The 22,441-nt window shown below is 50.6% G+C and overlaps 2 protein-coding genes and 2 non-coding genes across 15 annotated transcripts, besides 10 other annotated features; 1 reads left to right on the top strand and 3 right to left on the bottom strand.

Moving 5' to 3' along the window:
* Window positions 667–1,366: a silencer, noted in NCBI's record as "silent region_11282". NCBI's record gives its function as "represses an Ori minimal core promoter by ATAC-STARR-seq in GM12878 lymphoblastoid cells {active_cell/tissue: GM12878}" and the evidence as "EXISTENCE:reporter gene assay evidence [ECO:0000049][PMID:35858748]".
* OST4 (oligosaccharyltransferase complex subunit 4, non-catalytic) lies at window positions 1,135–2,317 on the top strand. The gene is made up of 3 exons (NM_001134693.2): window positions 1,135–1,188; window positions 1,326–1,463; window positions 2,068–2,317. Exon 2 carries the CDS (start codon window positions 1,327–1,329, stop codon window positions 1,438–1,440), a length of 114 nt encoding a protein of 37 aa, NP_001128165.1. The 5' UTR covers window positions 1,135–1,188; window position 1,326; the 3' UTR covers window positions 1,441–1,463; window positions 2,068–2,317.
* Window positions 1,417–1,656: an enhancer, noted in NCBI's record as "active region_15486". NCBI's record gives its function as "activates an Ori minimal core promoter by ATAC-STARR-seq in GM12878 lymphoblastoid cells {active_cell/tissue: GM12878}" and the evidence as "EXISTENCE:reporter gene assay evidence [ECO:0000049][PMID:35858748]".
* AGBL5 (AGBL carboxypeptidase 5) lies at window positions 2,171–22,425 on the bottom strand. 12 transcript variants are annotated; one of them, NR_138023.2, is made up of 16 exons: window positions 21,235–21,366; window positions 19,616–19,876; window positions 19,216–19,387; window positions 18,730–18,893; window positions 17,982–18,159; window positions 17,536–17,714; window positions 16,651–17,107; window positions 15,997–16,166; window positions 15,351–15,486; window positions 14,187–14,389; window positions 13,385–13,599; window positions 5,143–5,295; window positions 4,045–4,157; window positions 3,695–3,741; window positions 3,083–3,216; window positions 2,171–2,697 (listed from the first exon to the last, which is right to left on the bottom strand). NR_138023.2 is itself a non-coding variant. In XM_011533012.3 (16 exons), the coding sequence occupies exons 3-16, from the start codon at window positions 19,828–19,830 to the stop codon at window positions 2,526–2,528; spliced, it is 2,661 nt and encodes an 886-aa protein (XP_011531314.1). In that variant the 5' UTR covers window positions 19,831–19,876; window positions 20,246–20,456; window positions 20,996–21,121; the 3' UTR covers window positions 2,171–2,525. The 12 variants fall into 12 exon arrangements, 10 of the variants coding, with proteins under 10 accessions (XP_011531314.1, XP_011531315.1, XP_011531313.1 ...); NR_104246.2 differs by lacking the exon at window positions 21,235–21,366 and adding an exon at window positions 20,996–21,121; XM_011533012.3 differs by lacking the exons at window positions 3,695–3,741; window positions 21,235–21,366 and adding exons at window positions 20,246–20,456; window positions 20,996–21,121.
* Window positions 20,621–20,670: a silencer, noted in NCBI's record as "silent region_11281". NCBI's record gives its function as "represses an Ori minimal core promoter by ATAC-STARR-seq in GM12878 lymphoblastoid cells {active_cell/tissue: GM12878}" and the evidence as "EXISTENCE:reporter gene assay evidence [ECO:0000049][PMID:35858748]".
* Window positions 20,691–21,130: a silencer, noted in NCBI's record as "silent region_11280". NCBI's record gives its function as "represses an Ori minimal core promoter by ATAC-STARR-seq in GM12878 lymphoblastoid cells {active_cell/tissue: GM12878}" and the evidence as "EXISTENCE:reporter gene assay evidence [ECO:0000049][PMID:35858748]".
* Window positions 20,691–21,366: a biological region, named in NCBI's record as "H3K27ac hESC enhancer GRCh37_chr2:27274291-27274790".
* Window positions 20,867–21,366: an enhancer, noted in NCBI's record as "H3K27ac hESC enhancer chr2:27274291-27274790 (GRCh37/hg19 assembly coordinates)". NCBI's record gives its function as "activates a minimal SCP1, AML or CMV promoter by ChIP-STARR-seq in naive H9 embryonic stem cells {active_cell/tissue: H9 hESC(naive)}" and the evidence as "EXISTENCE:reporter gene assay evidence [ECO:0000049][PMID:30033119]".
* Window positions 21,503–21,575, bottom strand: TRA-AGC8-1 (tRNA-Ala (anticodon AGC) 8-1). The gene has a single exon. It is a non-coding gene; the product is annotated as a tRNA-Ala (tRNA).
* Window positions 21,534–21,828: a silencer, noted in NCBI's record as "tiled region #11838; HepG2 Repressive non-DNase unmatched - State 1:Tss". NCBI's record gives its function as "represses a minimal TATA promoter and a strong SV40 promoter by Sharpr-MPRA in HepG2 cells {active_cell/tissue: HepG2}" and the evidence as "EXISTENCE:reporter gene assay evidence [ECO:0000049][PMID:27701403]".
* Window positions 21,534–21,910: a biological region, named in NCBI's record as "Sharpr-MPRA regulatory region 11838".
* Window positions 21,681–21,910: an enhancer, noted in NCBI's record as "active region_15485". NCBI's record gives its function as "activates an Ori minimal core promoter by ATAC-STARR-seq in GM12878 lymphoblastoid cells {active_cell/tissue: GM12878}" and the evidence as "EXISTENCE:reporter gene assay evidence [ECO:0000049][PMID:35858748]".
* Window positions 21,919–22,007, bottom strand: TRY-GTA2-1 (tRNA-Tyr (anticodon GTA) 2-1). Its single transcript is given in 2 exon segments — window positions 21,919–21,954; window positions 21,971–22,007. It is a non-coding gene; the product is annotated as a tRNA-Tyr (tRNA).
* Window positions 22,081–22,370: an enhancer, noted in NCBI's record as "active region_15484". NCBI's record gives its function as "activates an Ori minimal core promoter by ATAC-STARR-seq in GM12878 lymphoblastoid cells {active_cell/tissue: GM12878}" and the evidence as "EXISTENCE:reporter gene assay evidence [ECO:0000049][PMID:35858748]".

The following is a 22,441-nucleotide window of genomic DNA, read 5'->3' as shown; positions in this document are numbered from 1 at the left end:
ACAGGCGGGAAACTGGTCCCCTGTCCCAAGCCCATAGCATCTCCTGTAGAGTTTTCTTTGGCTCCGAGAAGCAGAGGCCTCCCCTGAGCCCTGGCCCCCCTCTACCGCAAAGCAACTGGCTTCCATTACCCCTGACAGCTCCAGAGCAACAGCCCAGCCCCCGGCCCCGGCCTGGCTCAGTGCCGTTCCCTTTTATGGTGAAGCTGAGAGAAAGCATGGAGTGAGGGGGGAGAAAGCTCTGGCTTGGGCAGAGGCTTGGAGAGTTCCAGGGTGCCTCTCCCCTCGCCAGAGACCCTCGGCTACCCGCAGCCACCGCTCTTCGTTCTCTTCGGCGACCTAATCTGTCCTGAACCCAGGACCCCTCTTGCTTGTCCCAGCCCTTCCTCCTCTTCTCCATTCCTCCCCTTCTCCCTCCCCCACATCCGGGGGGTGATTTCCCACTTGGCCGAAGTCCCACGGTTTGGGTTTTGATTCCGGGAGGGTCCGCCCTATTTCCGACGCCCACCTCCGGGGGGTAGGGTGGAGGGAGGGAGCCCGGCTAAGACAGAACCTGGTCAGATCACAAAAGGCAGGATGGTTCTACTTGGTTGCATGTGGGTCACAAAGGATGGCGCCGGAGAAAGGAGCACCCGGCAGCACCAGCCCTGTCCCCATTCTACAACGCCTCCTACCCCTGTCCCCGCCGTCCGGGCCAGGGAGAGGGCACTGAGGGCAGGACCCAAAGGAAGCACCTGGTTGGGCCGGGCCGGGAAGCGAAGGGTGGGCAGCAGTACTGAGGGCCGGGGCCGGAAGGGGGTTGGAGTATCCCGCCGGCCCCGCCGCTGCACCCTCGCCCCAGCCCACTCCTCGGCTCCGGGGAGGCGGCCACCACGGCTTCGCTAGCCGCGTCCCGAGCCACGCCAGCTGCAGCCAGCTGTGCGGTGCCGGGCCCAGGCGCGCGTCCGCAGCCCCGCCCCACCCCCTACGGCTGGACCTCCCACCGCAGCCGCGCCCGAGGCCCCGCCCCAGCCGCGGCCGTAACGCGCCGCGCGGAGCCGACGAGACGGCGGGGCTAGAGAGGCCGTCCCGACCGCGCCCCCCGCCGGAAGCGGCTTGTTCGGGCCTGAGCTGGCGCTACGAAGTTCCGGTCCAGGTCTCTGACTTCGGGCTTGTTCGCTGGTGGCGTCGGAGCCGAGCCGGACTGGTCAGGTCAGAGGCACGCAGGGGCCGTCCCACGGGCCAGCCCCGCCGTGGCCGTGGCCGTGGCTGGCCCGTGGGGCGAGGACGGGTTCTTGCGAGGGCGAGGAGTGCGCCAGCCCGCAGCTCAGCCCCTCTCTTCTCCGCAGGATGATCACGGACGTGCAGCTCGCCATCTTCGCCAACATGCTGGGCGTGTCGCTCTTCTTGCTTGTCGTTCTCTATCACTACGTGGCCGTCAACAATCCCAAGAAGCAGGAATGAAAGTGGCGCTTTCTCCGCCCCAGGTAACGGCCCGGGGCTGTAGCGCCCAGTCCCCAGAGCTGAGTGGCGAGGCCGCGCCAGGGCTAGCAGGGTTCGAAACTTACAATCAGAAAGTGTCGGGCCAAGCATGATACAGTCCAGAACTGGGCCCCTTTGTCTGCACAGAGTAGAGAGAGAGCGCGCTGTCCTCTCCCCGTAACCTGTTCCCTGCTAGAATGGGAGTGGGTTGCCTAACCCTCACAGTCTCCAGTAGGTAGATGCCCAAGTTGGGAGTATAGTTGTAAGGAGGCACTGACACCGGTAGGAACGAAGGTACCGAGGGAACCATCCAAGTATGAGGATTTGGGCTCTTAAATAGCCCTCATTTTCCCCAGGTTGTTTAGGCCTTATTTGGGCAGATTTTTTTTGGTGAGGGGGGTGACAGATGTAGAATTCTGTTTCCATGTTCTGAGGCCAGGGGTTGGCTGCTGACCCAAACTATAGAGAAGGAAGGGGGGGCTTTGGAGCCAGCCTTAAGTGTGGGTCACAAGTATAAAGGGAACATGGATGGGCGTTACTTCCTGAAGGATTCCCCAGAGGAAAGCTGCAGCATTTTCCTTACCTCAGGTCTTTCCCCCTCTTTTCTAGGGTTCCAGGACATAGTCTGAGGCAAGATGGAGGGTATGAGGGGCCTTCACACTTCACTTCATCCCTTCTACCCATCACAACATACAAAGCAACTACACCTGGATTTTTCCAAACAACTTTTATTTCCTCAGAGTCTTCCTTAATCCTATGGAACAAGAAGCTGCCACTGAATAGGGCCCAGTATAGGGGCTTGCTTTTCTACTCCCTCCCCCCAATATAAAAATATAGACTTTTTTTTGTGGTCCCAAAATCTTGTGCTGCGGAGGGAGGGAAGGGGTGGCAGGTCCCTGTTTTGTTCTGTCTCAAGGTGATACTCTGTAATGCCTTGGACAGCGTGGCTGGCATTCCAAGGACTTAACGGCTGTCACATGGAATCAGCGGCCTGGAGGGGAACTAGCATATTTCCCACTGTTACCCCATCTTGGGGCTATATCCTGGGCTTGAACATAAAGGCATTATCAGACCCGGGGAGAAACAGTCAGTGGGGGAGATTTAGGGACAAAACAAACCTCAGGTTGGCCCAAGGGACCCCTGCTGTAACAATTCCAGGATGGGGAGTCAGATAGACTACAGGATATAGGAGAAAAGGCAGGGGCAGAGCGGGGCCGTGGGGGCCTGGCCTGAGGCAGCCTGCAACAGAAAAGAGAGAGGAATCAGGGCTGTGAAAACTCTCCTCCTCTTCTGTTCTGCTAACCAGGGGCTGGGAAGTGAAAGAAGTGGAGCGAGATGAAGATGGGTAAGGATGGGCAAGTTGGTTACTGCACAGTGGTTTGACGCTGGAACCAGCCAGCTCCTAGACCTTAGGCCCTGACTAAAAGTTGTTTTCTTTTGCTTTGGATTGAAGACTTGGCCATGGTGGGGGAAAAAAAAATCAGGGACTAGATTCTTAATGGAAGTACATTTAGTCTTTGTGCTCAAAAGGAGTAGGGAAGCAGAAAATTATTCTGAATGACAGAAATGGGAATGAGGGGACAGAAGTGAGGGGTGGTGTGAGGGACTGGACCCAAGTGCTCACCCTGGTGTAGCAGAGCAGGATCCCAGCTCCAGCTCACTGCTCTCCCTGGTCCGGGGGGTAGGGGATGTGGGGCCTGAAGAGCCTTTCATCCCTCTGCGAGTCGGCGGTGAGCCCCGGCCCAACCTGGGCCTAGCCTGTGTGGACAGGGTTTGCGCTAAGAGGCTGGATTCTTCCATGAGTTTTTTGCTTTTAGTTTGCTTCTAGAGTTTCCATGCATAAGAGTGTTGTAGTATAGGGATCAGTAGAGGTACTGGGACATTGAATTCTAGCTGAGAGGGTGAGGCAAGATAATAGCCAGAGAAGTCCTGGATTCAGTCCATGACTATGCACTCCAAGTCTATAACTAGGGGTGGCAAACGGATCCAGCATTTAACCGCCATGGCTACACCATGACTAAGGTCTGGGTGAGTAGAGAAACACTGTGTAGAAAGATAGTGGAGGGTTGGTAGACCTCTCTCAGAGCCCTCTATGCTTTAGCCCCTGCCAGAGCAGTGTACACTTCACCCATCCAGTCAGCCTCTGCCTATACTCAGCTTTACCTAGCATGGGGATCTGGACTGAATCGGAGTTGGTGGCAGGGCTGTTCCTAGCAGCAGCAACCAAATGTGTTACCTGGGGAATCCGGGACCCCTCCTGGCGGAAACTCTCCTCGGACAGGTCTGGGCAGAAAGAGAGGAGAAGCTAAGGGCAGGGGCAGGGAAAGCCAAAGCTAGCAGGCTAAGGTTGGGGTATATCTGGCAGGGACACAGGTTGAAAGCAAGCAAATGACCTGGCTGATGGGGATGGTGGAGGGCAGGAAGGGGACTGGACAGACAGGCACTCAGGCACCAGAGAAGCTCTCTGATGTGGCCAAGGGTAGATGCAGTAAAGCAGTGCTGAGCATTTTCCCTCCCACTACCCAGAGGAACAGTGCCTTGCTGGGTTCTGCCAGAGTAGCTATGCTGGAGACCCAAAAATATTACCTGCAATCGAGTCTTGATGCAGGGCATCCGAGCTCCAGTCCCTAGCAGACCTTTCCCGATTACCATGACAGCCTCTGGTTTGTCTCCAGAGGACAAGAGTGAGCAACTGCTCCCTAGGGAACAGAGGAAACTGATCAGGGTAGGGGTCACAGAGAAGAGGAGGTAACTTCCAAAGGATCAGGGTTTCTTAACCTTGGCACGTTGACAATTTGGGTTGGATAATTCTTTATCGTGGGGAGTAGTCTTGTGCATTGTAGGATGTTTCGCAGCATCCCTAGCCTCTAAACAATTTATGCTGTTTCCTCATCTCCCCCCTCCTCAGTGTAACAACCAAAAATGTCTCCAGATGTTGCCTGATGTCACCTGGCAGCAAAATCACCCCTGGTTGAGGCTCTAGTCTGGTGGTCCAAGGGGTGGAGCAGCAACTCCAGGCTAGAATCGGAACGCACCCAAGCTTAACTCCTGTGTCAGTTTATACTGCCGCAATCATATGTTTAGCATTTGAGGATCAAGTCAGCTCTACCCAGGACTGGTGGGTTCAGTGCTACCCATTGAGGAGAGTTGACAGGTTGGGAGTAGGGGTCTTTGAATGAGGTAGAACATGTTGGACTAGAGTCTTAAAATCATTCCCATCCCTTTCTTTATATAGCTGGGTCTATAATTTAAAGGAGAAGAGATGGCTTTGTGTGAATGATACGGCTACACACAGCATTTAGCAGTGTTGACAGGAGAAAGTACCGTCATGCTTTTTTCATTCTCCTGTTTTGTCTAGTGTTGCCCAGCTCCTGGAGTCAGGGAATTTGCATAAGTAGCATTTTGCAGGTAGACAAAAGTCTTCAGGTTCCTCAACTGATAAAATGAGATTAAGTGTGTAGAGCAGTGCCTGGCACATAGTAAATGTTCAGTAAATGTTAACTATTGTTTTATTACACAGACACATTAATAAATTCCAGCTTCCTATACAAAGGCACCAGTGTTAGAGGTTTAGGATACCAAGAGGATAAGTGATGCCCCTGGTCTCCCAACTAGGCTTAAAGAACCTGGCCTGGCCATGGAGGAGGCTGGCAAACCCAGATTTCAGTGGCAGTGGGTACAGACCTGGTATGTTGAATGAATCAGGCAGTAGACAGGAGCCCAGCTTGTGTGAGGAGGCTGGGCCAGAACTAGTAGGAGCTGGGGATGGAGCGAGGCTGCCTGCAGGACGATGGTTCAGGGGCTGCTGCTGCCGTCTCCTGTCCTGGCTTCGGGGCTCTGAGTGGAAGAGATACAAGCAGATAAAAGGGCAAATAAGTGGGGCACTATGAGGCAGCCTTCACTGACCTGCTGGCTTCCGTGGTCAAAAGATGCCAGTTTTCAAGCTTGTCATCAGACCCACATCCCTCTCCTGAAGTAACTATTAATATAAGATGGGTAGAAAGACCTACTATTTATTACAGTTATCCATTCTCCACCAGCCTTCATCCTGCTAGTTTTTTTTTTTTTTTTTTTTTTTAAAGGTTTCCACTCTGTCATCCAGGCTGAAGAAGTGCACAATGGCACGATCATGGCTCACCGAGCCTCAGCCTCCTAGGCTCAGGTGATCCTCCCACCTAGCCTCCTGAGCAGCTGGCACTATAGGTGCCCGCCACCATGCTCAGCTAATTTTTTTTTTGTTTTGTTTTTGAGACAGAGTCTCGCTTTGTTGCCCAGGCTGGAGTGTGGTGGTGCGATCTTGGTTCACTGCAACCTCCGCCTCCCGGGTTCAAGCGATTCTCCTGCCTCAGGCTCCCGAGTAGCTGGGATTACAGGCGCATGCCACCATGCCTGGCTAATTTTTGTATTTTTAGTAGAGACAGGGTTTCACCATGTTGGTCAGGGTGGTCTCAAACCCCTGACCTTCTGATCCACCCGCCTTGGCTTCCCACAGTGCTGGGATTACAGATAGGTGTGAGCCACCGCGCCCAGCCTAAATTTTGTATTTTTAGTAGAGACGGGGTTTTGCCATGTTGCCCAGGCTGGTCTTGAACTCCTAGGCTCAAGAGATCCACCCACCTCCGCCTCCCAAAGTGTTGGGATTACAGGTGTGAGCCACCGCACCTGGCCAGTTTATTCTTTTGGCAAAGAAGTTACTGAGCTTGGCTAACACAGCTTTCCTTGGTTCCCCTCTTACCACTGATTGCTTCTCTTCCAGCTGTTCTTCCTGCCCCTTAAATGTCAAGTCTTCCCCACCATTCTGTCCTTGGGCCTCTCCTGCTCTACTTACTCTTAAACTCCCAAATCACTCTGTAGCCCTTTTCTCCTGAAATCCAGCTCTAATTGTCCACTGGAGATTTTTTTCCCAAGAAAGTCCCCTTGACAAAACAAAACTCATTCTCTCCCTTTCTTTCATTCTCCCTGTCTTCATGCAAAACCCAACTGCTAGAAACCTTGTTTCATCTTTCTACTATTCCTCTCTTAGATTTGCATTTGTGTAATCAAATCCTACAATTCTATCTCTGCATTCACCTGAGGTTTTTTTTTTTTTTTTTTTTGGAGACAGGGTCTCACTCTGTCACCTAGGCTGTAGTGCAGTGGCATGAACATGGCTCACTACAAACTTGACCTCCTGCATCCCAAGTAGCTGGGACAACAGGCACACGCCACCAAGCCCAGCTAATTTTTAAATTTTTTGTGGAGATGGAGTCTCACCATGTTGCCCAGGGTGGTCTGGAACTCATGGGCTCAAGCGATCCTCCTGCTTCAGTTCCCAAAGTGCTGGGATTACAGGTGTGAGCCATTGCACTGGGCTTGAAGATCTAAAGGATGAAGTCTAAACTTTTGAACACTACACATTCAAAGCCTTGCCCACTATAGTTCCAGTCTGCAAATCCTTAGTAGGATGCTGATTTGATCCTTCATACCCTCTGCTATAGACCCCATGGCTACTAGTTGTGTGTGGTTCCTCTGGAACTGTTTCCTTTTCTAGTGAAACCATGACCATCTTTCATGTCCCATCTCAAATGTTACCTCTCTTACTTGAAGCTTACTTGACCATTACAGGCAACATTAATTGTTCTCTTCTCATTACCTTCATCCTTTGTTTGTGTGGCTAGTAGTTCATGGTTTCTGTTTAATTAAGTTAGTATGTGTAAAGTACTTAAAGGCACATACTACTCAATAAACATAAGCTAATATTTTTTCTAACTGGAACTTGAGTTTCTTGGGAGTAGGGACTTTGTTGCCTCCAACACTATATATCCCAGTGCCTGTAAAATGCTGCCTGAAAAACCAGAGACCTTAATCAATGTTTTGTTTACTTGAACAGCAGACACCATGAGCTGGATCAATCATCTGTGGGAGTCTAAAGGCATACAGTTATATCCTTTGGGGCAGCTGTCTCTGGTCCACTCATGTCTCGAGACTTATTACTACAAGTTCTGAAGGGTGGGGCCCAGGGGGACAGATGGTAAATGGATGGGGTAGGGAGGCTTGCAGCTTTGGCGTGTCCTTCCTCATCACAGAGGAACAGCAGGTGCCAAATGCTCTCAAACTGATGGGCTATTAACTTTTCATAGAACTGAATTCACCAGAGGTGCCAGCATGCCAACTGACCATTAATAAACGTGTTGGATATGAAAATCCTCTAACTTAAGAAGTGACAGTAACTTCATCTTCCCAGCCACACTGGGAATTAGCAGGCAGTGACAAGAATACTTTTGAAAGGTCCAAACCAGGTCAGGCACGGTGGCTCACACCTGTAATCCCACCACTTTGGGAGGCTGAGGCAGGCGGATCACTGAGTTCGGGAGTTCGAGACCAGCCTGACCAACGTGGAGAAACCCCGTTTCTACTAAAAATACAAAAAATTAGCCAGGCGTGGTGGTGAGCGCCTGTAATCCCAGCTACTCCAGAGGCTGAGGCAGGAGAATCACCTGAACTCGGGAAGCGGAGATTGCAGTGAGCTGAGATCGGCCACTGCACTCCAGCCTGGGCGACAGAGTGAGACTGTCTCAAAAAAAAAAAAAAAAAAAAAAGGTTCCAAACCAAAATGGAAAAAAAAAAAATTGAATGGAAAAAAAAAATCGATACTTGTATGAATAAAGAAGAAAGGGAGAGATCTCAGGATGGAAGCTACTCTATTATGAGGAGATATGCTGGGTACCAATTATAGGTTAAGACGGTGGTCAAGAGTCAAAAACGCCAGGCACGGTGGCTCATGTGCCTTGGGAGGCTGAGGCGGCTGGATCACTTGAGTCCGGGAGCTTGAGACTAGGCTGGGCAACTTGGTGAAACCCCATCTCTACTAAAAAAAGAAATACAAAAATCAGCCAGGTGTGGTGGTGTGCACCTGTAGGCCCAGCTACTAGGGAGGCTGAGGCTGGAGGATCACTTGAGCCAGGGACACGAAGGTTGGAGTGAGCTGTGATCACGCCACTGCACTCCAGCCTGGGTGACAGAGCGAGACTGTCTCAAAAAAAAAAAAAAAAGTCAAAAACAACCAGATGTTAGGGGGCTAGTGAGAGTTGTTGGCACAGGTTGCCAATAGGATAACAGAAGTCAAGACTCGTGGCCATAGTCAAATAACCTAAAACATTAGCTACCACCAATGACAGAGATAGTCTAGGGCCCAGAGCCAAGTAATTCTGTGATTAAAATGGATGTCAGGATGATGTCCAGCTGACAGTGCACAGTAGGCAGAAATCATGAACTTGATAGAGGAAATAGTTTAGATAATTTGAGAAATATCTACACACACAGGCATGCTGAAACCATATTAAGGGACAAACCTTCACCCTACCCCAGGAAAGGGTAAAAGCAAGTGAGAAAGAACAAGCAAGAGTGCAAGAGTGATGTGATCAGCTCTGCTTCCAGAGGTTATGAAATGGTATCTTATGGCAACCAGCCAGATGTTCCATTTTGGGGGTGGTAGGATAGTACTGGGCAAAGGTCTAAGAGGTCTGAGGGGAGACTGATCTCCCCTTGAATGAGTCAGAATGGGTGTTCTAAGGTCTCACTGTTTACAGCAGCAGTTACTTGACTTGTGCCAAGGTCCTGTGTGTCATCCTCCCTGAACGTCTTTGGAACCGTCCCTAGCACTCCAGATCTTAGTGAATCCCTGGGACAATCACAGACCTGATTTATGCCCTCTGAGGGGTAGAAAGGTGGGACAAGCATTCTTTTTTTTTTTTTTTGAGACGGAGTCTCGCTCTGTCGCCCAGGTTGGAGTGCAGTAGCGCGATCTGGGCTCACTGCCAGCTCCGCCTCCTGGGTTCACGCCATTCTCCTGCCTCAGCCTTCCGAGTAGCTGGGACTACAGGCACCCACCACCACACCTGGCTAATTTTTTGTATTTTTAGTAGAGATGGGGTTTCACCATGTTAGCCAGGACGGTCTCGATCTCCTCGAGACCTCGTGATCTGCCCGCCTCGGCCTCCCAAAGTGCTGGGATTACAGGCGTGAGCCACCACGCCCGGCCGAGACAAGCATTCATTTGGTTCCCAACTTCTTGCTTTTTATTCATTCAACAAATACTTGCTGTTCACTTACTAAGTGGCAGGCAGAGGACTAGATGCTAAGGGCATAAGTAGATGTGTTAGGAGACACTTCCTGAAGCTTTTGTTTGCAGTGGAAAAAGTAGCCTTAAAGCCCTCTTAGTTCCTCTGTCTTCTACCATCACTGAATCCTGCCCCCTTTTCTAATACTTATCTCTCTTTTCCAGATGCTGGTATTGGCTCTGGTCATCTCACCCCGTTTCCTGTCCAATATGTACAGTTCACAGACAGTGTCTTACACAGTCTTACGTTTATTCCCATTTGTAGAAACACACAGTTGTTGCCATTGTCTCAGTTAAGCTCATAATCATTGTTCTCAAGACATTTCAGCTACTGCTCTCTTCACCTAATATCCTTGGTGACGGGCTTGGCCTTTTGCATACCCACCTAGGTACACAAGCTTTTTGTCCTCTCCACCCACCAGCTCTGTTCCTGCTCCTGGCTGTCATTTCTCACTTTGGGAATGTTTCTGTCAAACTATGTCTTACCTATTTTTCAAATTATTTCTTAACTGAACATTCTTTGGCTAATTACTCTTGTGTTTATCCACCACAGTAGTTCCCCAAACCCTCAGGATGTTTACAGTGTTTGTGCGCTCTCATGTTGTATTTACTGTCCTGTTTCCCCTATTAAGTTTCAAGTCAATCAACCAGGAATTACTTAGTACTGACTGTGCATATTTTCTATTGGTAGGGGGAAGTAACAGAGAAATAGAATACATGTCCTTCACCTCAGGGGGCTCAATGCAGTGTTGTGCATTGGAAGCGGGGCAGGGAGGATGTCAATAAAATAGTGATTAAAAAGTGCCTAGCCGGACGCCATGGCTCATGCCTGTAATCCCAGCACTTTGGGAGGCCGAGGCGGGTGGATTGCCTGAGGTTGGGAGTTCAAGACCAGCCTGACCGACATGGAGAAACCCCGTCTCTACTAAAAATACAAAAAAAATTAGCGGGTGTGGTGGTGCATCCCTGTAATCCCAGCTAATTGGGAGGCTGAAGCAGGATAATCACTTGAACTTGGGAGGAGGAGGTTGTGGTGAGCCGAGATCATGCCATTGCACTCCAGCCTGGGCAACAAGAGTGAAATTCCGTCTCAAAAAAAAAAAAAAAAAAAAAGGCCTAGATGGGCACAGTGGTTCATGCCTGTAGTCCCAGCACTTTGGGAAGCTGAGGCGGGTGAATCCGCCTGAGGTCAGGAGTTCAAGACCAGCCTAGCGAACATAGTGAAATCTTGTCTCTACTAAAAATACAAAAAATTTGTTGGGCGTGGCGGCGGGTGCCTATAATCCCAGCTACTTGGGAGGCTGAGGCAGGAGAATCGCTTGGACCCAGGAGGCAGAGGCTGCAGTGAGCCGAGATTGCACCATTGCACTCCAGCCTAGGTAACGAGCGAAACTCTATCTCAAATAAAAAAAAAAAAGAGGGGCCTAGAATATTCCAGTGACAACCTAGAAAAAGCTCTTTACTATTTCCCTTTGTAGTCAGGAAAGGAGAACTTAGGATGCTGATGAAGGAATTCCCAGGAACTATGAGTTAAGAGCTAGAAGAGGCTGACCAAAAAAGAATGAGGTTGGGTGCAATGGCTCACGCCTGTAATCCTAGCACTTTGGGAGGATGAGGCTGGTGGATCACCTGAGGTCAAGAGTTCAGGACCAGCCTGGCCAACATGGTGAAACCCGTCTCTACTAAAAATACAAAAATTGGCCGGGCACAGTGGCTCACGCCTGTAATTCCAACACTTTGGGAGGCCGAGGCAGGCGATCACGAGGTCAGGAGTTCAAGACCAGCCTGACCAACGTGGTGAAACCCCGTCTCTACTAAAAGTACAAAAATTAGCCAGACGTGGTGGCGTTTGCCTGTAGTCCCAGCTATTCCGGAGGCTGAGGCAGGAGAATCACTTGAACCTGGGAGGCAGAGGTTGCAGTGAGCCAAGATCGCACCACTGCACTCCAGCCTGGGCAACAGAGCAAGACTCGGTCTCAAAAAAAAAAAAAAAAAAAAAAAATTAGCTGGATGTGGTGGCATGCACCTGTAATCCCAGCTACTCGGGAGGCTAAAGCAGGGGAATCGCTTGAACCCAGGGGGTGGAAGGTTGCAGTGAGCTGAGATCACACCACTTCACTCCGGCCTGGGTGAAAGAGTGAAACTCTGTCTCAAAAAAAGAAGGAAAGGAAAAGAAACAGAAGAAAAACTTTAAGCAGATTTACCATGGGAAACTAGGCCACTGGAGCATGAGAAGATACAAGTTGGAACAGCTGTGCAATCTTGGAGAAACCACTCTTAAATAGCCTCAGTTTACTTGTTGGAAAAATGGAAACAACATCCATCCCATAGCGTCTTTGTGAGGATTAAATGAAATTTATATATATGATATTATCTTGTTCACTGTTAAATGCTATGTAAACATAAGGCATTATTATTATTTTTCAAACACAGTGCACAAGTGTCCTTTCCTGATGAAGATAGACTCTCAAACAATGGGGCCTGGAAGCAGATAATCAAGTTGCCTGTCAGGGATAGAATATCTCAATGGTCACAGCTGGTAAGGACCATTGCCCTCTCCTCCATGGCTTCTCTCACTAGCAGTCAGATTTACACAGCCACTGACACAGCACATGTCTGGTCTGTACCAACAGCTAGGGTGCAAGCTGGGAAAAGCTAACAAGGATGAGTATGCTGGAAGACCAGCAAAGCTCTTAGCCCCAGCTGACAAGCCTCCATACTCTGGGCAAGACTTCTGTAGTGCAGAGGCCAGTACAGTATTGATTTGTGGTTTAGCGTATTTCCAGAAGTGGCACTATAACAATCTCTCCCCCTCCGCAATCCAGGTTACTCCCGTTAATTTTCTCTTCTTTTTCCCTAAAGGCCCATCTGTTTCTGGTATATAATTTTGACCCAGAATCTTATCAGGCAGGGTCTCATCAGGCAAAACCTGGGGGTTACTAATGCACAGTTAAGCAACTGTGCTCACTGCTGGAAAGAGCTAGACTGCTGCATTTTATACCTAGAAAAGAAATTGTCTGCAGTTGTTCCATTTTTCTTTGGAAGAGTTAGAATCCTTCTGATATCACTTTCTTTTCTTTTTTTGAGGCAGAGTCTTGCTCTGTTGCCCAGGCTGGAGTGCAGTGGCACGATCTTGGCTCACTGCAACTTCTGCCTCCTGGGTTCAAGCGATTCTCCTGCCTCAGTTACCTGAATAGCTGGGATTACAGGTGTGCACCACCATGCCTGGCTCATTTTTGTATTTTTAATAGAGACGGGGTTTCGCCATGTTGGCCAGGCTGTTCTTGAACTCCTGGCCTCAAGTGATCTGTCTGCCTCAGCCTCCCATAGTGCTGGGATTATAAGCATGAGCCACTGCACCCAGCCCGGTATCACTTCCTTAATGAGCTCTGAAGCCAGGAAAAATTTCAGCCCATAAAGACCACAGATAAGATTCCCCATCATTCTACAGTACTGCAGTTTGGATTCTGAGGACATTCCCTTAACTGCCCCCATGAAGACAGACTGACATTGTCCGTGACGTGGAGGCTCCATGTCCTGTTTGGCACTGCTTCAGCTAGTGTTTCATCCTTGGAAACTTCCCTGGCTCCTAGCATGCACTGAAGCCCAGATACCCAGACTTCCCCCTCTGGCCACACACAATACCGCTCTGGAATCATGCCGCAGGGAACACCAAGGTCGTAGGAGAGGCCACAGGTTCTGCTACAAACTAATTTTATTGATTCACCCCTTGGTCCTGGGCCAACAGTATATCTTCAAGCTCTTACTTCCCCCAGCAATGCCCCAGACAACCGAACACATGTTGCAGGGGCTCCCAGACTGGCTTACCTCTGACGGGGCCCAGCACCCGGTGGGTGACCTTTTGGGTACTAGAGCCCAGGCCTGGCAGCCCTGCAGGCCGACTGCCATGAAAAGGAAAGCTGGGGGAATTCTTCATCTGTGGAGAATTTTGTTGGCTGCTGCTGCTACCACCGGCACTTGTGCCGGTGCTAAAACTTCGTGCCCGACTCAAGGTGTTTTCGGAGCAGGAGACAGGCAACCCACTGCAAAGAAGCAGATGCCAGTTAACCCGGGCCAGGAAGGTTGTGTCCTAAGGCTTTCCCTAGGATCTGCTGCTCAGTAAAGCTTCACCTCTGGGGTAAAAAGGCACAGGGACCCATCCCAAGGAAGAAGTGAGGAATTCATGTCCGTGGATGAAGTATCTAACCTGGGGAATACCAGCTAATCTCAAAATGTCTTAAGGGCCATCCCTGAGCAGCTTTATCTCCCAATGAATTTCACCCCTACTGCCTTGGCACTGACCCTTGAACTCCCTTCAGTCAGTCATTCACAACCCTTGGAAGCTGAGGCCTGCCCCACTGCAATTATATTTGATTTTGTACAGGGCTCTGCAGCAGTGAATCCCAAGCCTGATACTCAGATCTCTTAGGTGTATGTAGCTCAGAATAAAAGGGAAGAGGATCCCATTCTAAAAGAATAAACTAATCTGACTAATTTTAATTTACCCTGAAGATATTTGCCATTTGGCACTTTGAGGAGGATGGAAGGAATATAAATCCCTTGGAACTCCTAGCTCTAGAGCCCTGTCCCACTGTCCTACCCTTTCTCCCTCCTATTTTGCTGGCCTTACTTGTGACTTTTGGGTGGAGTTCGAAGGCCCCTCTTCTTGTTGACACCCACATTCAGAGTGCTGCTTAGGCCTCGGCTGTTGCGTACATGTTTCAGCATCCAGGCCCGTAGATTAGTAAGGCTGCTGTGCTCTGACAGTACAATTCGGGGCCACGGATTACATTCCGCCATGTCCAGGGCTGCAATGGCCATAGCTCGTCCCACCTGTGGGGTAGTCCAGTTTGGCTCAGCATGCTGGTCCTCCCATCCAGGCTGCTACCTTGGGGTGGGTACACAGCACAGTGGAAGGGAAGGAGGGGCCAGACCTATAATTTGCTCATTGGATGCCCTAACCTTTGTGCCCAGGCTGTTTATTGCAAACGGATTTGGAGCTGTTCCCTAAACTACCGCCAATTTGGGGGCCCTCTTCCATTATGAGGGGCAAAGTGTGTCCTTTCTTTCTGGCTGGTGCCATGAAGGAATTCTCCTAGCAGGAAAGGGGTTTGAATCCCTTCTGTAACCTACAGATCTACTTTTTTTTTTTTTTGAGACGGCATCTTGATCTATTGCCCAGGCTGTAGTACAGTGGCGTGTGATCTCGGCTGACTGCAACCTCTGCCTCCCGGGTTCAAGTGATTCTCCTGCCTCAGCCTCCTGAGCAGCTGGGACTATAGGCATGTGCCACTATGCCCAGTTAATTTTTGTATTTTTAGTAGAGATGGGGTTTCACCATATTGGCCAGGCTGGTCTTGAACTCCTGACCTCAGGTGATCCGCCTGCCTTGGCCTCCCAAAGTGCTGGGATTATAGGCATGAGCCACCGCACCTGGCCAGCTCTTTCTATTAGGATAATGGGAATCATCAAGACCACTACAGTCAGGGTGCTTTTGAGCCCAGAAACTAATAAATCCAATAGAATGAGAAAGACAAGCCCAGAGGCAAAGAATCTGACTCAGAGGTGCTAGGGGATTCTCTGTGATGTGGGGTCAGATATAGTGCCTGTTCATCCTTTCAATACTATTACAGTTGTAGTTATGCTCCTGTTAACTGAGGAAAATAATCATAGTGGTGAGACGGCCATAGTGATGAATATCTCTTCAAAGGACCTTAGAGTCAGGCACTAAGAGTGAAGGCCTTTCCAGACTGTAAGGTTTCTCCCTTTTCCCACTTACACCATGTATTCATACCTGCTCAAATAGTTCCACAGTGTATCTGGAGGGGAAAGCCGGCGGGGGAGGGGGGCTGGCACGCCCATTGTCATGGCAGGCAGCAGGGATGCTGTTTACTGAGCGTCCAGTGTTGTAGTTGCATTCAAGTGTGTAGCTAAGACATAAAGACCTTTATCAGTGTCCCGCCTGAACAGATACCAGGACAGAACCATAGAGGACAACTTAGGTGGTCAAAGGAGGCAATCACTTGGAAAAAAGTGAACACAAATGAAAGTGCTAATAATCCATAGCAACTAGCAGCTGACCTTGGTACTGTACCATATACCCAGAGAGTCCCCCCAAGGTAGAGTCCTAGACTAAAGACAATAATGCTAATTGTGAGGTTCTCTTTTAAGAAGACTAAGGTGGTTCCCTCCCTCTCAAACACCCTGAACTGGGTGTTGTTTTTTGTTTTTTTTTTGAGACGGAGTTTCGCTCTTGTTGCCCAGGCTGGAGTGCAATGGCACGATCTCGGCTCGCCACAACCTCTGCCTCCCAGGTTCAAGCGATTCTCCTGCCTCAGCCTCCTCAGTAGCTGGGATTACAAGCATGCACCACCACACCCAGCTACGGTGTTTTCTTTAGGGAAGCTATTTCATCAACTATATCTCAGCTTCCACCCAACCTGTGGATTATCCCTGAGGCTTTGTAGATTGCAACACGGCCGCTTCCCTCTTTAGACTGGCCATCTCTACGGTCTCGGGCATACATATTCTTCTCTGAGAAATTGCAGCCCTGGAAGTCGAAGTGGGCTGAATTCAAGGAGATGAGCTTTGGATATAGCATGTTTTCCACCTGTTTGGGGAAGAAAAGTCAACTCAGAAGGAGAGACAGAAGGGACAAGGTGCAAGGAAGAGATAGCAAGTATGTGACCATGTGACTTAATACACAGCAGATACCATCACAACCATTAACAGTAATCAGTGCTGCCTGAATTCTCAGTTTGACATTACTTCTAGGTGTTGGGAAGCAATTCTTTTTTTTTTAAGCTTTTAGCTTCCTCCCTCCAACAATGCAAAATTTTCCTTCTCTGGATTCCCAGACTCTAGCAGACTATAATGCAGTTAGCTTTCCTTAATAAAAGGTCATGATGTAACAATTGAGACATTATCCCCCTGTGCCATCTCTTCTTGGCCCTTCAAAGCTTTTTCAGAGGTAGTCTACACAGGCCTTCCTTCCAGAAAGCTACCTAAGGCTATCTTCCTTCTGTTCATGGCCTAACCCCATCTCCTAACCTGTAACACTTCTCACACTCACATGACATTCTTAGGATTCCCACCTGGGTGCTCTCATCACTAAAGCTGTTTCCGTACATGAAGCAGCCCCTTTTGGAAGCATGTCCATGCAGGTCCACATAGTAAGCAACGCCACTCTCTTTGGGGGGGATGGTATCAGGGGCTGACTCTTCAAGCCCCGCAGACTGTTGTGGCATAATCCACACACTGTTGAGCTTCTGTTCTGCTGGCTCTGTTTGTTTCCAGGCTTCAGCGTTATGCCTGTCAGCTGAGTGCCCACACTGAGCTTCATTTTGGAGATTGTTGGCTTTCTCCAGGTCAGAAACAGGAGCATCAGGAGGGAGACAGGAACTGGGCTGGTGCTCAGAGGAACTCTGGGAGTTCAGACGAGAGTGCACATGGTGGTAGAGAAGCACAGCTTTGGCCCCATAGATGGCCGGGTGCAGGACGGCATCAGGCTTCAGGTACTGACGGTTCAGATTCACTCCACGTGAGTCTGTGCTGTAGGAAAACAAGGACTGAAGCAGGTTCTAGAGGACTGGGCCAGTGAAGGAGACACTAGTGTAGATGAAAAGGAGACCGTAGGAGACTGACTTATCAAATGAGAGGCTGAAGCTATGTTAGGAAAGAAAGAATTGAAGACAGGGCCTCTCTTTGATCTGCTGTCACCCTTACCATAGAACCCTAAGGAGCTTCCTCAGGGTAGCTGCCTCCACCCAGATGGGCCTGCAGTCATCCTAGTTTGGTTCCTTTCTGGGAGTGCCACTAGATATGATCTCATGCTTTCTCAGGAAGATGAGATGGGCTTGCCTTTATTAGGGTGCAAGAGGACTGGGAACACAGAAGCCAGAAGGCTGACAGAATTTCACTGAGATGCAGGGCATGAGGGGAAATGGGAACAGTCCAGACAGGCTGGGGAAGCCACTTACCGGTAGTGTCCCCGGACCACACCATCGGGGTTCAACATGGGAATCAGCTTAAAGACGAAGAGGCGACGGAGGGTTTGGGCCCGGGGATCATCAGGTCGGAGGATGAAGTCCAGAAAGCCATTGAAGACAAAGCTAGATGGAGTCTCCCCTGGGTGTACTCTACTGCTTAAGAAGAATATCTGAGGTAGAGAGGAGAGCAGACATTAAGTCAGTTACCCTGTAGTTCTACTTTGACAGTATATGGGGGGTGTCATGGATGAGGCAGGAATAGCCGCTGGATTTCCAGCTGGCTGAATCTGCAAGTGGAGCAGGGGCCATCACCCTTGCCGCACGCTGCGGGCGGAGGCCATGTCCAAGATGCCTAGAGATAACATAGTCTTTAGCTATAAACAGTACCTGGTGCTAGAGAAAAGCCAAAGAACTACCTTTATGCTATTTCCACTCACCCTCTTGCCTGCGAAACGGAATGGTCGAGGGGTGCTGGTATCAGGAAATAGCTGCTCTAGACGGGGCTCTCGATCTTCTCGAAGCCCATGGCAGGAAGTGATCGTCAGCAGATCTACACGAAGTCCATCCAGAGAATAGCAAAGGAGCTCCCGATGGTAATAGATGGTATCCAGGGGGCTACAGGGAAAAAAAAATTAAGCCAGGAGAAGTCCCTAAAGTCCTAGTAAGAGGTAGGCCTTGTCACCAGCCCAGGATCTGTAAAATCTGGTCCTTCACCCTAACCTTTGGGGCCTTATAGTCCCTCACAATGTTAAATGAGGCTAAGGATTTGAGTGGGTTTACATTGCCAGAATGAAGAGTACAGGACAGGGTGAACTTGTTGTTCCCCAGTTTGTGGCTTCCTAGAATAGATTACTTAATGTAGTCGGAGTTGTTCTCCGTGGGGGCAGATAAAAAAGGTATACTGAGTCACATAATGCTGGCTAAACTCTGGATAATTAATGGGAGCTGGGCTAGTAAGAGGTCTGAACTGGGCAGGTGAAAGAGTGGAGGGCAGGTGTCGATATGCTGAGATCAGGGTCATACAGAAACATAGTTTTCAAAGGTACCCAAAGTCCTGTCTGTACATTCTGTACAGAAAAAAGACGGATGAAAGTATGGTTCAGAGCTCTAAGAGCAAATTCCAGAAGTAGTGGAGGTGCTGTCTGATCCAGGACTGTGTGGCAGGAGTAAGAATGGGGCTGGCACCTGCTATGGGTAGGGTGGTTCTCCGGAAAGCGCTGGTCTAGCTGGTTTAGCAGTTCCTGGCAGTCACTGTAGGAGAAGGGGTAGCAGAAGGCGAAGAAGGTGGTGGCCCCACGGCCCTCCACGAAACGATGAACAAAGGATAACACAAACTGCGTCTCTGTCATCTGAAGAGCAGAGGAGGAAGAGGGAGGGGCAACATGCCATTGTCAGAACTGAGCTCCTACTGGGACCACCAGGAACTGACCTCACACCCTTATCACCTTTACCAACTTCCCTCCCTGTGACACTTTCTATATGAAAAGTGGCTCCTTCTAGGCTTCCTGAGGCAGGGGCTCATCTTGGACTCTAGCTAACACTGGAGAAAAAGCTGATACTTAAACCTGTTGTCCCACCTGCTTCATACTTGTATCAAGGAAAAAAAAACGCTTTACTTTCCTCTCTACTTTTAGCACCCAAGTCTTTCTTTCCTCCTCATGGAGAACTTACCTCAAAGGTGGGCCGGTCTCGAATGCGTTCCCAGCGTGGCCGGGTGGGCAGTGTGCGCACAAAGGGGGCCATGCCCTGGGAATACAGCTTGCTCTGCTTGTTCATGTTCATAATGTTGATCTTGATGAGTTTTCCTGGCATTCCTCCCCGGACGCTGAAGTAGAACCATGACCTGAGGACCAGAGTAAGAGAGAGGTCATTACGTGTGGAAGGGTTGGAGATATGGTCTGTGGGAGAGCCGGAGCCAGCCAAACTGGGAAAGGGCTATTTGGCAAGGAGAAAGGAGGGACGATGGGTCAGAAATGGACAGGGAGTATGCTGGGTATGAACAGATAAGTCAGAGGGCTAACTGAAGCATGGGTTTGGAGCCTTTTTCCACCCTCCATTTCGTTCCATATACCTGTTCCCATTCTCAAATTCCGTTTCAGCACAGTCTGGTCGGGTCCACACGTTGAATTCATAGTCAGGGGAAGAGGCAATGCCACTGGTCAGGGCTGACGCCCCACCTCCTACCCCTTCCCCATCACTGGACAAAGATTCCACCTTCTCCACGTGGGCTAGATTCCCTGAATCAAAGCGAGAACTGAACAGCAATCCCCCACAGCGCAGCTCCATGGTGGGGCTGGGAAAGCATCCTCCTGCCCCGCTCTGGCCCTGAGAGCTGGGGGAAAACAAGGGTTAGGTTAAGGAGGAAAGGGAAGACAAATCGAAGAGTTTTCTGGGTATCTCTTGATAAATAAGAGCTATTCTTAGGGAGTGCCCTATGAAACAAAAGGCTGTCTCCCTCTTAGAAAACATAGAAGTGGTCTTCCAGCAAAGGCCAAGAGAAAGCAGCATTCTGTACCCCAACACTAAGGGTTGTAAATGACCTAAAGGGACCCCATTTTACTTTAGCTTGGCTGTTCCCAAATAAAACTCAGTGGCTTAACTATGTTGAAAAACACTAAACTCTCAGCTGCTTTGCAGCCCAAAGATTAGAGAATATAATCAGAGAGGTCAGATTTTCCAAACCTAGCCAAGATACACTCACCACCATACATGGCCACCTTTAGAGATGGGCCGTTCTGGATCTCTGGCTCTGCACTCTCCAGCACAGAGCAGAGAGAGGAATCGAGGTTCTGAGTGTAAATGGGTAGTCCTCTCTCCAGCCTCTGTCCTCACAAGTACTGAGCGGACATTCTGGTGTTGCTCCCCTGAGCCCTGGAAGGGCTGGTTCTTCCTTTTTTGTTCCTACCTTATGCCTAGTATGGAGAAAAACTATAACAGTGGTGCCTCTGCCAAGCCAAAGGCTACTGGGCTCACCTAGCGACTGGAGCTCCCTTCCAGCCAGGGCATGGGTCTGTTTCCATCCCCCTCCGCCCCGTAAGCACTGCACCCTGAGAAAGCTACCCTAGTAGCTGTGGATGAGTAATGGGTGTTCTCAGCACCCCTAAAAGAGGTGGGCTGCTAGAGTCCCACTCGGGGGAAGGAGGCTGGCTTCTCCACCCTCGACTCGCGGGGAACCGTCACACCGAGCGGGCTTGCCCTGGGCAGGGTGGGACTGGGAGGCATGGAAGGGGTCGAGACGGGCTCCCGCGGCAGGGGATTAGGCAGGGAGGGCCTAGGAGTCAGAGGTGAGGCCACGGAGCTGGGCGGGGTCGGGACCGCGTAAGCCAGGTCGGGAGCGGGGTGCGGGGTGGCCTTCGAGGGGCTCGGGCTCAAGGGGCTGAGAGAAGGGGGCGGGGCCGGGGCTGGCGGGGCCGGGGCTGGCGGGGCCCGTAGTCCGCGCAGAGCCCCTCACCTCTCTCCGGGCCGGTGATCCCGCTCCCTCTCCCGCTAGCGAGGCCGCACCTTGGGCCCCGGCACCCGGGCCCTCCACCCGGGCCCCCAAAAACACCCGAGCGCCGCGGTGCCGGGACCCCGCTCTGCCAGGAAACAAGAAGTCTCTCGCCTATTGGCCGTGGCTGCAGCTGGCGACCCGCCCAGTAAAGCTCGCTACCATTGGTCAGCTCTCAGGGTTCCTCGCACGTTAGTGGGTACCTGAGCGAGTGTCGTTCGGGGACGATGGCGGGCAGGAGCGGCCGGAGGGTTCTAGCAGCGTCTTCCGGAAGACGGTTAACGGCCTGCCTGCCGGGAGGCGGGAAAGATAAAGCGGCAGAAACTGGGACTCAACTGCGAAATAAAAAGACATCGTGTGAAACTCCTTATCGCTTAACAGTCTTGTGTCTCTAAAATGAAACACGTAGCCCACTGCGCCGGGAATCCCTCCCGTTTTGTGTTCTGTAGTGTGACGGACGCAAAAGCTGAGTGGAGGATGCGGGCATCGATCCCGCTACCTCTCGCATGCTAAGCGAGCGCTCTACCATTTGAGCTAATCCCCCGCCTGCTGCTTAGTTCTTTCCCTTTGCCTTACAGGTTCACTGCACTGTTCACTGACCAGTGGATCAACCACAGTTCAGGACATTTATTTAGCAGAGTACAATACAGTGGCATCCATGTGCAAGATTCTAAAAATCAAGCATATAATCGTGTGCTTAAGCAGAAAACATTCTAAAACACGTTACCACATGTACATTGAACGCAGAAAGAGCGTTACCGTATACTACATACTACGGTGTTCCCTATGGACTGACGGCAGTACGAATGCTAAGTCACAGGAGGCCTCCAAGCCTTTCCCCTTATGGGATAATTGAATTAAATTGAGGTTAAAAATTACAGACGAAGTCCTTCGAGCCGGAATCGAACCAGCGACCTAAGGATTGCCACGCCCTATCCACTACAGTCCTCCGCTCTACCAACTGAGCTATCGAAGGCTCCGCTGCGATAAGATGCTGCTGATAGCCCTCTAATGCTTACCGCAACCTCATCCAGCCATGACCCCCGCTTTCTCCAGCTGAAGGAACCTGCCAGGGCAGGAGACCCATGGGACCTCACAGAGCTGAGAAAGCCGGAGACCCAAAGGCAAGGAAAAGAAGCTGCCCAAAGTCCGGGTTCTCAGGCCAGAACGGAGGCCACACCGGCCCTGAGCTTCCCGGCTTTTTAACAAAATGTTCCCAACACCCCGCGGTGGTTTCTCCTGGACCGCGAACGCCGAGCCCGCCGCCGCCTCCTGGAGCTCCGGGGCAGCGCTTGTGCCGCGGTACCTGCACTCACAGGGGCTTTGCGACCGCGACGCGCAAACCCTGCTCGAGAGCCGATGGGCCACTTTGGCTGCTCCTGCTCCACATTTCCCTTGGCTTCTCCGGAC

This window comes from Homo sapiens, chromosome 2, assembly GCF_000001405.40.
Source record: "Homo sapiens chromosome 2, GRCh38.p14 Primary Assembly".
Taxonomy (NCBI): Eukaryota; Metazoa; Chordata; class Mammalia; order Primates; family Hominidae; genus Homo; species Homo sapiens.
Note: the sequence above shows the minus strand (reverse complement) of the source record. Positions and strands in the feature narration are given on the sequence as shown.

Coding starts and splice junctions, on each gene's coding strand:
- OST4 (NM_001134693.2), top strand. CDS start 1,327: ATGATCACGGACGTGCAGCTCGCCATCTTCGCCAACATGCTGGGCGTG.
- AGBL5 (XM_011533011.4), bottom strand. CDS start 19,830: ATGGAGCTGCGCTGTGGGGGATTGCTGTTCAGTTCTCGCTTTGATTCA. Junction 4,158..5,142: donor TGATTCATTCAACATACCAG/GTCTGTACCCAC, acceptor TCTGTTCCCTAG/GGAGCAGTTGCTCACTCTTG. Junction 3,217..4,044: donor GCATCAAGACTCGATTGCAG/GTAATATTTTTG, acceptor CTGTCCACACAG/GCTAGGCCCAGGTTGGGCCG.